This window comes from Homo sapiens, chromosome 21, assembly GCF_000001405.40.
Source record: "Homo sapiens chromosome 21, GRCh38.p14 Primary Assembly".
Classification (NCBI taxonomy): Eukaryota; Metazoa; Chordata; class Mammalia; order Primates; family Hominidae; genus Homo; species Homo sapiens.
The window spans coordinates 37,340,570-37,354,129 of NC_000021.9; the positions used below are offsets into that span (position 1 = coordinate 37,340,570).

The 13,560-nt window shown below is 40.1% G+C and overlaps 1 long non-coding RNA gene across 1 annotated transcript; it reads right to left on the reverse strand.

The window, feature by feature from the left end:
• Positions 1 to 835: 835 nt before the first annotated feature.
• On the reverse strand, positions 836 to 3,645 carry LOC124905019 (uncharacterized). Its single transcript, XR_007067861.1, has 2 exons — positions 3,603 to 3,645; positions 836 to 970 (listed from the first exon to the last, which is right to left on the reverse strand). It is a non-coding gene; the product is annotated as an uncharacterized LOC124905019 (long non-coding RNA).
• Positions 3,646 to 13,560: the final 9,915 nt, after the last annotated feature.

The following is a 13,560-nucleotide window of genomic DNA, read 5'->3' on the forward strand; positions in this document are numbered from 1 at the left end:
GAACACGGGACAGAGGCAGGCGGATCACCTGAGGACAGGAGTTGGAGACCAGTCTGGTCCAACATGGTGAAACCCCGTCTCTAGTAAAAATACAAAAATTAGCTGGGTGTGGTGGTAGGCACCTATAATCCCAGCTACTTGGGAGGCTGAGGCAGGAGAATCGCTTGAACCTGGGAGGTGGAGGTTGCAGTGAGCCAAGATTGCTCCATTGTACTCCAGCCTGGGCAACAAGAGCGAAACTCCATCTCAAAAAAAAAAAAAAAAAGAATACAGGCTGGACGTGGCGGCTCACACCCATAATCTCAGCCCTTTGGGAGACCCTGGAGGAAGGATCACCTGAGCCCAGGAGTTTGAGACCAGCCTGGGCAACACAGAGAGACCCAGTCTCTACAAAAAATACAAAAATTAGCCTGGCATTGTGGCTGCGCCTGTAGTCCCAGCTACTGGAGAGACTGAGGCTGGAGGATGGCTTGAGCCCAGGAGATTGAGGCTGCAGTGAGCCGTGATTGCAACACTGCTCTCCAGTCTGAGTGACAAAGGAAGACTCTGTCAAAAAAAAAAAAAGAAAGAAAGAAAGAAAGGACCTTACTATAACAATTATTCTTGAATATCACCAAAATCCAGTCAGTGCTCCATTTCCCCGATTGTCCTGTAATTTTTTAAACAAGTTGTTCGAATCAGGATCCAAAAAAGTTCCCATTCATTGTGATTGATTGAGGTGTCTCTTTAGATTTTTTAAGCCTGGAGGTACTGGCACAACCTCCTTCTCTCTCTCTCCCTCCTCCTCCCACTCTTTCTCTCCCACCCCCTCCACCCTCAAACCCAGCAGGTCTGACCAGGCAGCAGTGGTCATCTGATTGACGCGCATTGAACTCTCTGCCTGAAAAGATGCTGTACTTCGTTGAGTTCCTTCCTTTTCTGTTCTGCCCAAGCTGTAATGGCTCTGAGGATTTGGAAAAGGTTTTAGAATCTAGGAATGAATGAGAAAACTGTTTTAAAGGGCCCCTCCACACTACTGAGGTCATTTACTTTTTCTTACTCTTTACCAAAACCTGTATAGATCACTGATATAATAGATGCGAAAGATACTCTAGTGGAAAATGTCATGTAAATGTAAAGGACTGCTGATGGTTATGTTATCATTCAAGAATGTTTTACAGGGGGAGATCTTAGCAAGCGGAAGTACAAGTAAAACTGAATCATGAGCAATTTATGTTATTACCTTCAGGGCAACCATAAATTAAGCCAGATAATTGTTCCCGGGCTCTGAACACTATGGGACAAGAAGCCATGGCTATAAGCCAAGAAAAAAAAAGCCGTATTTTTAAAAATACCCATTTAAAAGAGGAAAAGCAATTAGGGAGCAGATCCTGTAAGTAAAGGAAGACGGGGAAATAGCATTAAGTAGGTATCCAACAAGTTATTTGATATGACAGTGGTACAAATGATGCAAAAATATTCTCTTTCTTCCCTCAAATTTACAGAAACTGGCTCACAGTTTTTTGAGTAGTGAAGAATTTTAGGGCTGGGCGCAGTGGCTCATGCCTGTAATCCCAACACGTTGGGAGGCTGAGATGGGAGGATCACTTGAGCCCAGGAGATCAGCCTAGGCAACATAGTGAGGCCCCATCTCTACAAAACATTTTGAAATTAGCTGGGCGTGGTGGTGCACGCCTGTAGTCCTAGTGTATTAGTCTGTTCTCACACTGCTATAAAGGGCTGTCTGAGACTGGGTAATTTATAAAGGAAAGAGGTTTAATTGACTCATGGTTCCACATGGCTGGGGAGGCCTCAGGAAACTTACAATTGTGGTGGAAGGGGAAGCAAACATGTGCTTCTCCACATGATGACAGGAAGGAGAAGTGCAGAGCAAAAGGGGGGAAAGCGCCTTATGAAACCATCAGATCTCGCGAGAACTCACTCACTACCATGAGAACAGCAGCATGGGGATAACCGCCCCCATGATTCAATTACCTCTCACCAGGTCCCTCCTGTGACACGTGGAGATTTTGGGAACTACAAATCAAGATAAGATGTAGGTGGGGACACAGCCAAACCATATCACCCAGCTACTTGGGAGGCTGAGGTGGGGGGATCCGCTTGAGCTGGGGAGGTCAAGGCTGCGTTGGGTCATGATCGCACCACTATACTTCAGCCTAGGCATCAGAGTGAGACCCTGTGTCAAATAAATAAATAAATAAACAAATAAAATAAAAAATTCAGGCCAGGCATGGTGGCTCACGCCTGTAATCCCAGCACTTTGGGAGGCCGAGGCGGGCGGATCATGAGGTTAGGAGATCGAGACCATCCTGGCTAACATGGTGAAACCCCATCTCTACTCAAAATACAAAAAAATTAGCCAGGTGTGGTGGCGGGTGCCTGTAGTCCTAGCTACTCCGGGGGCAACCCAGGAGGCGGAGCTTGCAGTGAGCTGAGATTGTGCCACTGCACTCCAGCCTGGGCAACAGTGCGAGACTCCGTCTAAAAAAAAAATTAAAAAAAGAATTTTAGAGACAACTCAATCTGCCATTCCCGCATCCCCATCTTTTTCTTTATTTCTTTATTTCTTTTTCTTTTCTTTTTTTTTTTATTTTGAGACATTGTCTCACTCTGTTGCCTAGGCTGGAGTGCAGTGGCGCAATCTCAGCTCACTGCAACCTCCGCCTCCCAGGTTCAAGTGATTCTTCTGCCGCAGCCTCCAGAGTAGCTAGGATTACAGGCGCACGCCACCGCACCCAGCTAATTTTTGTATTTTTAGTAGAGACAGGGTTTCCCCATTATGGCTGGGCTGGTCTCGAACTCCTGGCCTCAGGTGATCCACTCTCCTCGGCCTCCCAAAGTGCTGAGATTACAGGCGTGAGCCACCATGCCCAGCCTCCCCATCTTTTTCACAGATGAGAAAATGGAGACCTAGATGGGCTATGAGGTATGCCCAAAGTTGAAGAGCCATTTAACTGTGTTGTGGGTTGTAAGCCATAGGTCTCCTGATACTGAATCCAAAGCTCTTTCTCTCTCTTTCCTCCTTTTTTCTATCATGCTTTGAGAGAATTTACAAAGTGTTGGCCATAATTTTACGGAAATAACGCTAGCAATAAAGGTAATTTGCTATCAGCAATAGTCTTGAATCTGGAGTTTCAATTAAATTTATTAAATGTGTTGGGTACCTACCACCAGGTTATAAGAATACTTTGAAGTTTCTTTTGCTTTTAACATTACACTTTTTCTCAGGTTTTTTATTTGTTTGTTTGTTTGTTTGTTTGAGACGGAGTCTCGCTCTGTCGCCCAGGCTGGAGTGCAGTGATGCGATCTCCGCTCACTGCAACCTCTGCCTCCCAGATTCAAGTGATTATCCTGCCTCAGCCTCCCGAGTAAGTGGGATTACAGGTGCCCGCCACCACACCCAGCTAATTTTTGTATTTTTAGTAGAGACGGGGTTTCACCGTGTTGGCCAAGCTTGTCTTGAATTCCTGACCTCAAGTGATCCATCCGCCTCGGCCTCCCAAAGTGCTGGCGTGAGCCACCGCGCCTGGCCACTCAGGTTATTTTAATGCCACAGTTTACTGTCACATATAGGAGGTAGAGATTCCTTTCATCAAACTTACCACTCGTGTTGGCACCATTTATGGTCCATTATTTGCTTTTCTCCTCGCCATCCTCCAACCCATCTCTTCGTCTCCCATTCACAGCCAAGGATTGACTTATTTTGTACAAAAGTGGCCGTGCCTGCTGGTAGGAAGGTCAAGAGGGACGTCCACCAGTGGTGCATGTGGCCGTCTGCCTTTAAACTTAAACTTTCGTTTCTGCTTGCTTCAAAATTATAGTTTGAAAGGTCGCTTTCATTGGTAGCTAGATCTAGCTGCCTCTTTTCACAGGTAAGACCACAGGAACCCAGAAAGGCAGAGGGCTTGCTCAAGGTAACTCGAGGTATCAGTGGTAGATCCAGGCACAGAGCCCAGGTCTCTGCAGTGCTCTATCGTTGGATCTTATACACAAGAGAATCAAATCTACTCAGCTGCCTAGGGATTTGTGCAGAAACAACTTCCATTTGTGGTTGAGATAACTGATGCGAGAATTTTCAGTAACAGGATTTCTTGGGTAGAAGTGGGAAAAAATCCCCACTGGGAACAAACTTAAAATGAAAAGATGTGAAAATGTATGCCTCTCTGAGAAAAGATGTTTCAGCTGCTTCCTGGAGTGACTTGGGTTAGAGAATGAGTTTGTAAGTGCGTGCTGACCCAGTTAATGTAGGAAGTATCAAACTCCAGGCACAAGTGACCTGAAAGAGAAGGAGTCCTCTTTTTAATAAACGTAAACAAATGCTATCTTCATTTTTCCATTTAATTTTTTTTTTTTTGAGACAGGGTCTCGCTCTCTTGCCCAGGCTGGAGTGCAGTAGCACGATTGTGGCTCACTGCAGCCTCGACCTGTTGGGCTCAAGCAGTCCTCTCACCTCAGCTTTTGAGTAGCTGAGACTAAAGGTGCACAACACCATGCCCAGCTAATTTTTGTATTGTTTTGTAGAGATAGAGTCTCACTATATTGCCCAAGTTGGTCTTGAACTCCTGGGCTCCAGCAATCTGCTCACCCTGGCCTCCCAAAATGCCAGATAACAGGCAGGAGCCATCACACCTGGCCTAATTTTATTTATTAAAGTAATATATGGCTGGGTGTAGTGGCTCATGCCTATAATCCCCACACTTTGGGAGGCCAAGACAGGAGGATCGCTTGAGCCCAGGAGCTCAAGCTCAGTCCTGGCAACATAGCGGTATCCCATCTCCATAAAAAATAAAAATTCAAACATTGGCCAAGTATGGTGACATGCAGCTGTGGTCCCAGCTACTTGGGAGGCTGAGGCAGGAGGATTGCTTGAGCCCAGAAGACAGAGAATGCAATGAGTAGAGATTGCGCCACTGCACTCTAGTCTGGGTGACAGAGTGAGATCTCAAAAATAAATAAATAAATAAATAAAATAAAACAAACAAACAAAAAGAAAGTAACATATGCATATAGGAACAGTTCCACTAGGAACCAGAATCTAATCATGAAGAAACATCTTAGCATGTGAGCCATTCTGAGACAACTAGACTGCTGTCTTCAAAAAAGTCAGTGTCATGAGAAGCAAAAAGGCCTGATGGGACAGGGACTATTCCATATTTTAAAAGTCCAAAAAGACAAAACAACCAAATGCAAAGTGTGAAACTTAATTAGATCCTGGATGAAAAAAGATATATAAAAGATATTTTGGGGACTACTGAGGAAATTCGATTGTGGATTGGATATCCAATGATCATGGGAGATTATTGTGAATTTCCTTAGATGTGAAGATGATATTCTGGGCATGGAGGAAAATGTCCTTGTTCTCAAGAGACAGCATCTGGAATATTTCCGAATGAAGCATTGTGATGTTTTTTAACTCACTTCAAATGGTCCAGAAAAAAAGGAGGAGAGATAAAGCTTATGTGGAATCCAGGTTAAAGGTATATTGGTATTTCTTGTACTATTTAACTGTTACATAGATGTGAAAAATTTCAAGCTAATAGGAAAAAAAAGTCTAATGCAAAAAGACTCTTTACAAAAAATATGGTCTCCACCCTATCCTTTTCTGTTCCCTGGGATATCTGCTTTTATATTTTATTTTTATTTTATTTTTGAGACAGAGTCTCATTCTGTTGCCCAGGCTGGAGTGCAGTAGTGCAATCTCAGCTCACTGCAATCTCTGCCTCCTGGGTTCACACAATTCTCCTGTCTCGGCCTCCTGAGTAACTGGGATTACAAGCACACACCACCACGCTTGGCTAATTTTTGTATTTTTTAATAGAGATGGGGTTTCTCCATGTTGGCCAGGCTGGTCTTGAACTCCTGACCTCAGGTGATCTGCCTGCCTTGCCTCCCAAAGTGCTGGGATTACAGGTATGAGCCACTGTGCCTCGCCTACTTGTAATGTATCTAGTTGCTTGTTCTAGTATTTAACTCCAAATTAAAAAATAAATACAGATACTGCTATTTCTTGAGTCTATAACTTTAGATAGTTCTAATAATTTTCTCTGATAGTAGGTGATGTTTTTAACTCTTTTTACACCCCATGTCTTTTCACCACATGGTCTCAGAATTATTCTATCAAATTTTGTGTTGAGATCCATATTCAATATTTTCATTATTATTACTAAATGATACAGGATCATGTACTGATTAACAAAAAAGCATATAATGATTACAGTTCCTTTATTATGACACCTGCTATTTTTTTACTGAATTTAATCATTGCTTTGTTTCTTCAGTTGCTTTGCTTTTATAATCCATTGTTAAGTATTTCCTCACCTGAAGAAAACAGCTTGGTTAAACTTCACCCAAGGCCATTTTTTCCCCTAAAATCTCTTCCAGTTCCTTTTTTTTTTTTTCCTGAGAACACCTGGTGTGGAGCTCTCTAACCACCTGCTGTGGTCTGGAGTGCATGCTCACCAGGTTTGCTCCATAATTCCTAACTGGGACTTTCCTCCACCCCTGCCCTGGGAATTCCCATTGCATTGCTCCTATGTTGGATCCCCTCTGGCTCTTGGGTTCCATGCTTCCTTGCTTCCCTATCTTACGGCTATCAGCGTTGTGTTGAGAAGTTGAATTCCATTTCAATTCCTGACTCTTTGCATGTCACCTACTTTTTCTCTCTAAAAATTCTTGGGATATTTTCTTCTATCTGATGTCCTGAAATTACACCATGATGTTCTTTGATGTTGGTGTTTTCCATTCAGTGAACTGGACATTGCTTGGAATTTTTCATTTAGAGGGACATGTTCTTCAACTCTGGGAAAATTTATGAAATTATTCAATAATTTTCTTCTTTCCATCTTCTCTGGTCTATCTTTCCAGGACTCTTGTCAGTCAGATATCGAGTTTCTATATTGAACTTCTGAGTGTGTTACTTTTTTTCTCACTATGATCATCTTCCTTTTGCTCTACATTCAGATAGATATATTAAATGTAATCCTTCAGTCCTTTTACTATTTTTAAATTTCTGCTATCATGTGTATTTATTTGTATTTATAGTCACCATATTTTCAGTTTTCAAGAGTTCCTTCTTTTTTTCTAATCCATTCTATTTTAAGCATTCTATTTTCATTTTATGAATATAATATTTCTCTGGTTTTTCTTTTTTTTGTTTTTTATTGAAGTTTAATCTCTATATAATAAAATACACAAACTTTAGGGGTAAAACATAATGAATTTATATATAAACATATATTAGATCTATTACATATTATTATGTTTATATATTTGTTAAATATTTTATATATCATATATTTATATAGTTTACATATTTATTTGTAATGAATTTTAAATTTTATATCACTAAACATTATTTTATTATATATAATAAGTTATATATTACAAGAAACTAAATCATATATGATGTGACATATTTGTATATATGATTTATATTCTTATGTATGATTTATGTTTATATTATTTATAAGTTATATGTATTTATAATATAACATACGTAATTTAAATACACCTGCATAACCACCAGTCAGATCAAAATAGAAAACTTTTCCAGCATATCAGTAGACTGCCTTGTGCTGCCTTCCTGATCAATTCCCTTCACAAAATAACCACCATTGCCACTTCTATTGTATTATTCAATTTTTCCTATTAGCTTTTATATTAGATATTCTTACATATTTTTTCAGTAAGAGAGATCACAGTGTGACCTAATAACTTATATAGTCTACTTTGAATTGGTCCTTTTACCACTTACAAACAATGCAAGAATCTAACAACGGCTTAACTCTTTCACTCCTTCCTTAGCTTTGTGATACTGTTGTCACGTATTATACTCCTGCATGTGTTACAGAACACATAGGACAGTGTTATTATTGCTAATTTATATGGAAATAGTCCTTTATATTTTCCCACATTACTCTTTTTGGTGCTGTCTGGTGCTTCTTTTAGTAACATATTTCTTTCAGTGATCATTTTACTTCAATTTCCAGAAGTTCCTGTGGTATTTCATTGAGTACACATTGGATGGCAACAAATTCTCCCAGTTTTTGTTTGTCTGAAAATGATTTAATTTTGCCTTCATTTTTGAAGGATATTTTCACTAGGTATGGAATTCTATGTTGTCAGTTTCGTTTTCTTTTAGCACTCTAAAGATGCTCTTCCATGATTTTATGGCTTCCATAGTTTTGTTGAAAAATCAGCTGTCAGTCTAATTGTAGCTTCTTACAGATGTGTTTTTTTACTCTAACAGCTTTTAAGATTTTCTGTCTGTCTTCAGTTTTCAGTAGTCTGGATATAACATTGGTGATTTTTTTTTAATTTTGCCTAGATTTTGCAAAACCTCTTGAATCTGTAGTTTAACATTCTTCCTTCTCAGACATCATCTCTTCAAATATTGCTTCTGCCCCGTTTTCTTTCTCCTTTCCATACAGGACTCCAATTTTACATTTGTGAGACCTTTTGCTGTGACTCATAAGTCTCTTATAGCAAGTTTTCTTACTTTTTTCTGAGTGTCAGTTTGAATAATTTTCTATTAACCTTTCCTCACATTTGCCATTTCTGTCTTTAGCTATGTCTAGTCTTCTGTTAAATTCTTCCCATAAATTCCTAATTTTCATCATTGTATTTTTCAGTCTATGTTTCTTTTATAGATTTAGATCTATAGGTTGAAGTTTTTATTTAAATTCTCCATTTTTTCATCCATTTTGTCCACCTTTTCCTCCACTTACTTTTACACAGTATTTAGTTATTTTAAAGTTCTAGTCTGCTTATTCCAATATCTGGATTGTCTGTTGGTCTGCTTCTATTGTCTGTTTATATTTTTATTTATTATTGGCTATATGGTCTTGTCTCATTGAAAAGTTAACTGTTTTTTAATTATATATTAGGCATTGTACATAAAAGAAGTGTAGAGCCTCCAGATGATATTATTTTCCAACAGAGAGGGCTTCATTTTTTCCTATGTGAAGTACACAGGGTGAAGCACTAATCACTTCAATCTAGTTAGAAATTAAAGTGGATCAGGGCTAGGCTGCAGTTTTTGTTTGTTTGTTTGTTTGTGTTTTTTGAGACAGAGTCTCACTCTGTTGCCCAGGGTGGAGTGCAGTGGCACAATCTTGACTCACTGCAAGCTCCACCTCCCAGGTTTGTGCCATTCACGTGCCTCAGCCTCCTGAGTAGCTGGGACTACAGGTGCCTGCCACCACGCCCAGCTAATTTTTTGTATTTTTAGTAGAGCCTTGGCCTCCCAGAGTGCTGGGATTGCAGGCGTGAGCCAGCATGCCCGGTCCTAGGCTGCAGTTTTAAGAAGATTCAATTCACCTCTGATTCATCTCTGTATCTTGGGTAATCTTCAGCCTGACTTATAGGATTTCATTGGTCTCTCTCAAATGAAAGCATTAAATTAAATTTTTGTTTTGTGTGTTGGGGACTTGGAGTTGGCACTCAATCAATGTCCTTTCTTCCATACCAAATTATATAGTTTGAAGAGAAATTATGGAGGCCAAAATATTATACTTATTAGTGTTAGAAGCCCTGTTGGAGAACAAGGCTTTAAGCTTGCTGAACAAGTTAGCTTGTCTGTATTAAATCTCAAATTAGGCAAACTTTCTTACCTAGAACCAGATAATGCTAGATGGGATCAAGTCTCCTTATACCGGAGTACTGTGTAGGCATGAGGGCACAGCAGAGAATGTTTGGTTCTACAAGCAACTTCCTCCCAAGAAGAAGTAGAGCAGAGTTGAGTTGAGCATGCTCAGTTATCTTAAATTTATCAATCAAATTAATGATTCCACCTCCCTTGTATTATGGGGAAATTTTTCACTGTAGAAAATAGGAGTGGGAAAAGGTATTCCTCCTCTAACATGCACTGGACTGTGTTCTTGATAGGGCCACAACGCTGAGGCAGAATCACCAACCTCATTTGAGTAAATAGTCCCCTTCATGCATTCATTCCCTAGTTAAGAATTAAAGAATGCCTAAAAATTAGTCATCCAAAGGTTTTCTTATTGCCAGTTCTCCCCACATTCTCTTACACCAAGGGCTGATAAACTGTGACCCATAAGCCACATCTAGCCTGCTCCCTCTTTCTGTAAATAAAGTTGTATTTGGAATGCAGTCACATCTGCTTGTTTACATACTGTTTATGACTGTTTTTCACACTTCAATGGCAGAGTTGAGTACTTATGACAGGGATTGTATGGCCCTCAAAGCCTAAAATATTTACTGTCTAGTACTTTACAGATGAAGTTTATCAACCCTTATATTAGACCATGGCTGGTTTTGTACCAACCTTTTTCTCTCTCTTTCTGAGGCTTATTTAAAGAAAGAAGGAATAACTGGATAAAAGGCCAGATACCCTCCTCTCTATCTCTAACACACCTAACATTTGAGGATCTCTGAATATTTCTCATAGTTGTTTCTTTCTGCCTTTTAAACAATAAAGGTTCCAGTCAGAAAAACCAAGGCATGGTATGGATCCGGGAGTTAGAAGGAAACAAGGCTTCCATGATTGATATCAGCTCTGGTTTCCTGCAAAGGACAAAGTCAAGCAAGGTTACCTATCAGTTCTCCATAGCAGGTAGTGGCCAACGGGTCTCAGACAATGCAACCTTGAGTTCATTGTTTCTCAGGCTTGGCAGTCTCACTTTGGACAAGCGGGATAAGTGCTTATACACACTTTAAGAATATCTCTAGCCAGGTGCGGTGGCTCACGCCTGTAATTCCAGCACTTTGGGAGGCCAAGGAGGGCGGATCACGAGGTCAGGAGATCAAGACCATCCTGGCTAACACGGTGAAACTCCATCTCTACTAAAAATACAAAAAAAAATTAGCCAGGCGTGGTGGCGGGCGCCTGTAGTCCCAGCAACTCAGGAGGCTGAGGCAGGAGAATGGCATGGACCCGGGAGGTGGAGCTTGTGGTGAGCCAAGATCGCACCACTGCACTCCAGCCTGGGCAACAGAGCAAGACTCCGTCTCCCCAAAAAAAGAAAAAAAAATTGGTTGATTGAAGTGTTCTTTTAATTCTAGGGCAGTTTTCTTTAGTTATATCTTTAAATAACTTTTCCTATACTCTCCTCCTCTTATTTCTAGTGAGATGAAGGCTATGTGTATTGAATCTTCTTTGTCTTCCATATTTAAAACATATTCTCTCTAATCTTTTAAAATATTTATTCTCATTTATTTATTTTTGCTTTTCTCCTCCAGATCCTCCATATGCTTTATTACGTTTTTCAGTGTTTATTCTCCTTTGTGTTACTTCCTATTTGACCTTTATTTCTAGGATTATTTTCTCAGTTTCTCTCCTGGGCTTTCATTTCTTTGGTTGCCTGGGCATCTTTCCTGAGCACTTGATCTCTATGTGTGCTTTTTTACTGTGGAGAAAATAGTTTTGTTGGGCTTTTGTAATTCAGTTTTATCTATTTGGAATCAATTTTCATCTACTATATCACAATTTCCATCTGTTCCATGACAATATTTTTCTATTTAATGTCCATTATTTGTCATTTTTCTATCATTTATTTCTGCCAATATAATTATATAGATTATTTTAATTCATTTTTACAATTATGAGTTTTGCTTAAATAAACTAAATATACTAGGGATAAGCTCATTTCAGGAAGTTCAGATGGAGGAGAGGTGAGGATTATGTTCCTCACCTATTAGACAATATGTGATGTGCCCTAGTGAGCTTTTTCAGCCTGTATTTCTCCCAGTTATCAAAGCTCAGCCCTGCATTGTTGTTCATAATACAGAGTTGCTCTGTCCACCACTCCTCTACAAGATGTCTCCTATAAATATGACTTTTCTGTGTGAGGCTTTATTTGGTAACATATTCCTTGTTCATCAAGAATCTATGCTTACACTGGGCATGGTGGCTCACGCCTGTAATCCCAGCACTTTTGGAGGCCAAGACGGGCAGATTGCTTAAGCCCAGGAGTTCGAGACTAGCCTTGGCAACATGGTGAAACTCTCTACAAAAAATGCAAAAAAGGCCAGGTGTGGTGGCTCACACCTGTAGTCCCAGCACTTTGGGAGGCAGAGGTAGGTAGATCACCTGAGGTCGGGAGTTTGAGATCAGCCTGACCAACATGGAGAAATCCCGTCTCTACTAAAAATATAAAATTAGCTGGGTGTGGTGGCACATGCCTGTAATCCCAGCTACTCGGGAGGCTGAGGCAGGAGAATCGCTTGAACCCAGGAGGCGGAGGTTGCGGTGAGCTGAGATCGCGCCATTGCACTCCAGCCTGGGCAACAAGAGGGAAACTCGGCAAAAAAAAAAAAAAAAAAAGTAATAGTAATGCAAAAAATAGCCAGGTATGGTGGCACATGCCTGTAGTCCCAGCTACTTGGGAGGCTGAGGCAGGAGGATCACTTGAGCCTGGGAGGTGGAGGCTGCAGTGAACAGTGATTGTGCCACTGCACTCCAGCCTGGGTGACAGAGCGAGACCTTGTCTCAAAAAAAAAACCAAAAAACAAAAAACCATGTCCATTTAAACTACTTAAATCCCAAAAAGGTGATGCTGAAAAGCTAATAGAGAAAATACACATGATGAAATTTATACATGTGCTTGATTTACCCAAGAGAAACCACTGAAGAAAAAAGAGACAAAGTACAGATTGCATTGCACAGGTAGAAAACAAACGCCAAGACAGAGGTGTAAACTCAGTTATATCAGACATGTAATTAACCCTTCTCCTTTAGGAAAAAAAAAAGTGCATCTTGCTGCCAGTGTTCATATTTTACATAAACACTCTCTTTGAGGCTGAAGCAAATCTGACTGATTTTTTTTCTTTTTGAGACAGAGTCTCGCTCTGTTGCCCAGGCTGGAGTGTAGTGTTGCGATCTCAGTTCACGGAAACCTTGACCTCTCGGGCTCAAGCGATTCTCCTGCCTCAATCTCCTGCTGATTGATTTTCAATGTGGAAATAAAATAGAAAAACTGTTCTTGGAGTTACTTCTAAACATAACTAACAGAATCATCAGAATCGTCTATTTCGGAAAAATAGGATTCATCAAATGAATCTTTGGCTAACAACTGTTCGAGAATGATGTTAACATCGTAAATAGGAATGCTACGTTTTCTAGCATTTGACTTTTTCAGTGATCGAGAATTACGATATTTTGTAATGGAAATACCACTACTAAAAACAAAATGAATGCTATAAATAGAATGATGTCTTTTGTTTCCAAAGTAGATAAACTAGAGCGATGCAAAAATAATAATAAGAGCAAGATATTTCATGGCAAAGTTATCTTAGGATAAACACTGCAGCCGTAAGCACCGGAGACGAGTATTCTTGGGGCAAATGGAGAGGGTTAACTTAACATGCACCACATCCCGCAATTAAAAGGCAAAGATTGTCAGGTTCAATAAGAAAAGCTCCAACTATATACAATTTCACAGAGACACACGTTAAATATAAAGGTAGGGGAAAGGTGAAAGTAACAAGATGGGAAATGACACACCATGTAAACACTAAGTAAGGTTGGTCCGACAAATTAATCTTAAAAACTAGATTGAAAGGCAAGAAGTACTACTAGTGAAAAACGGGCATTTTATA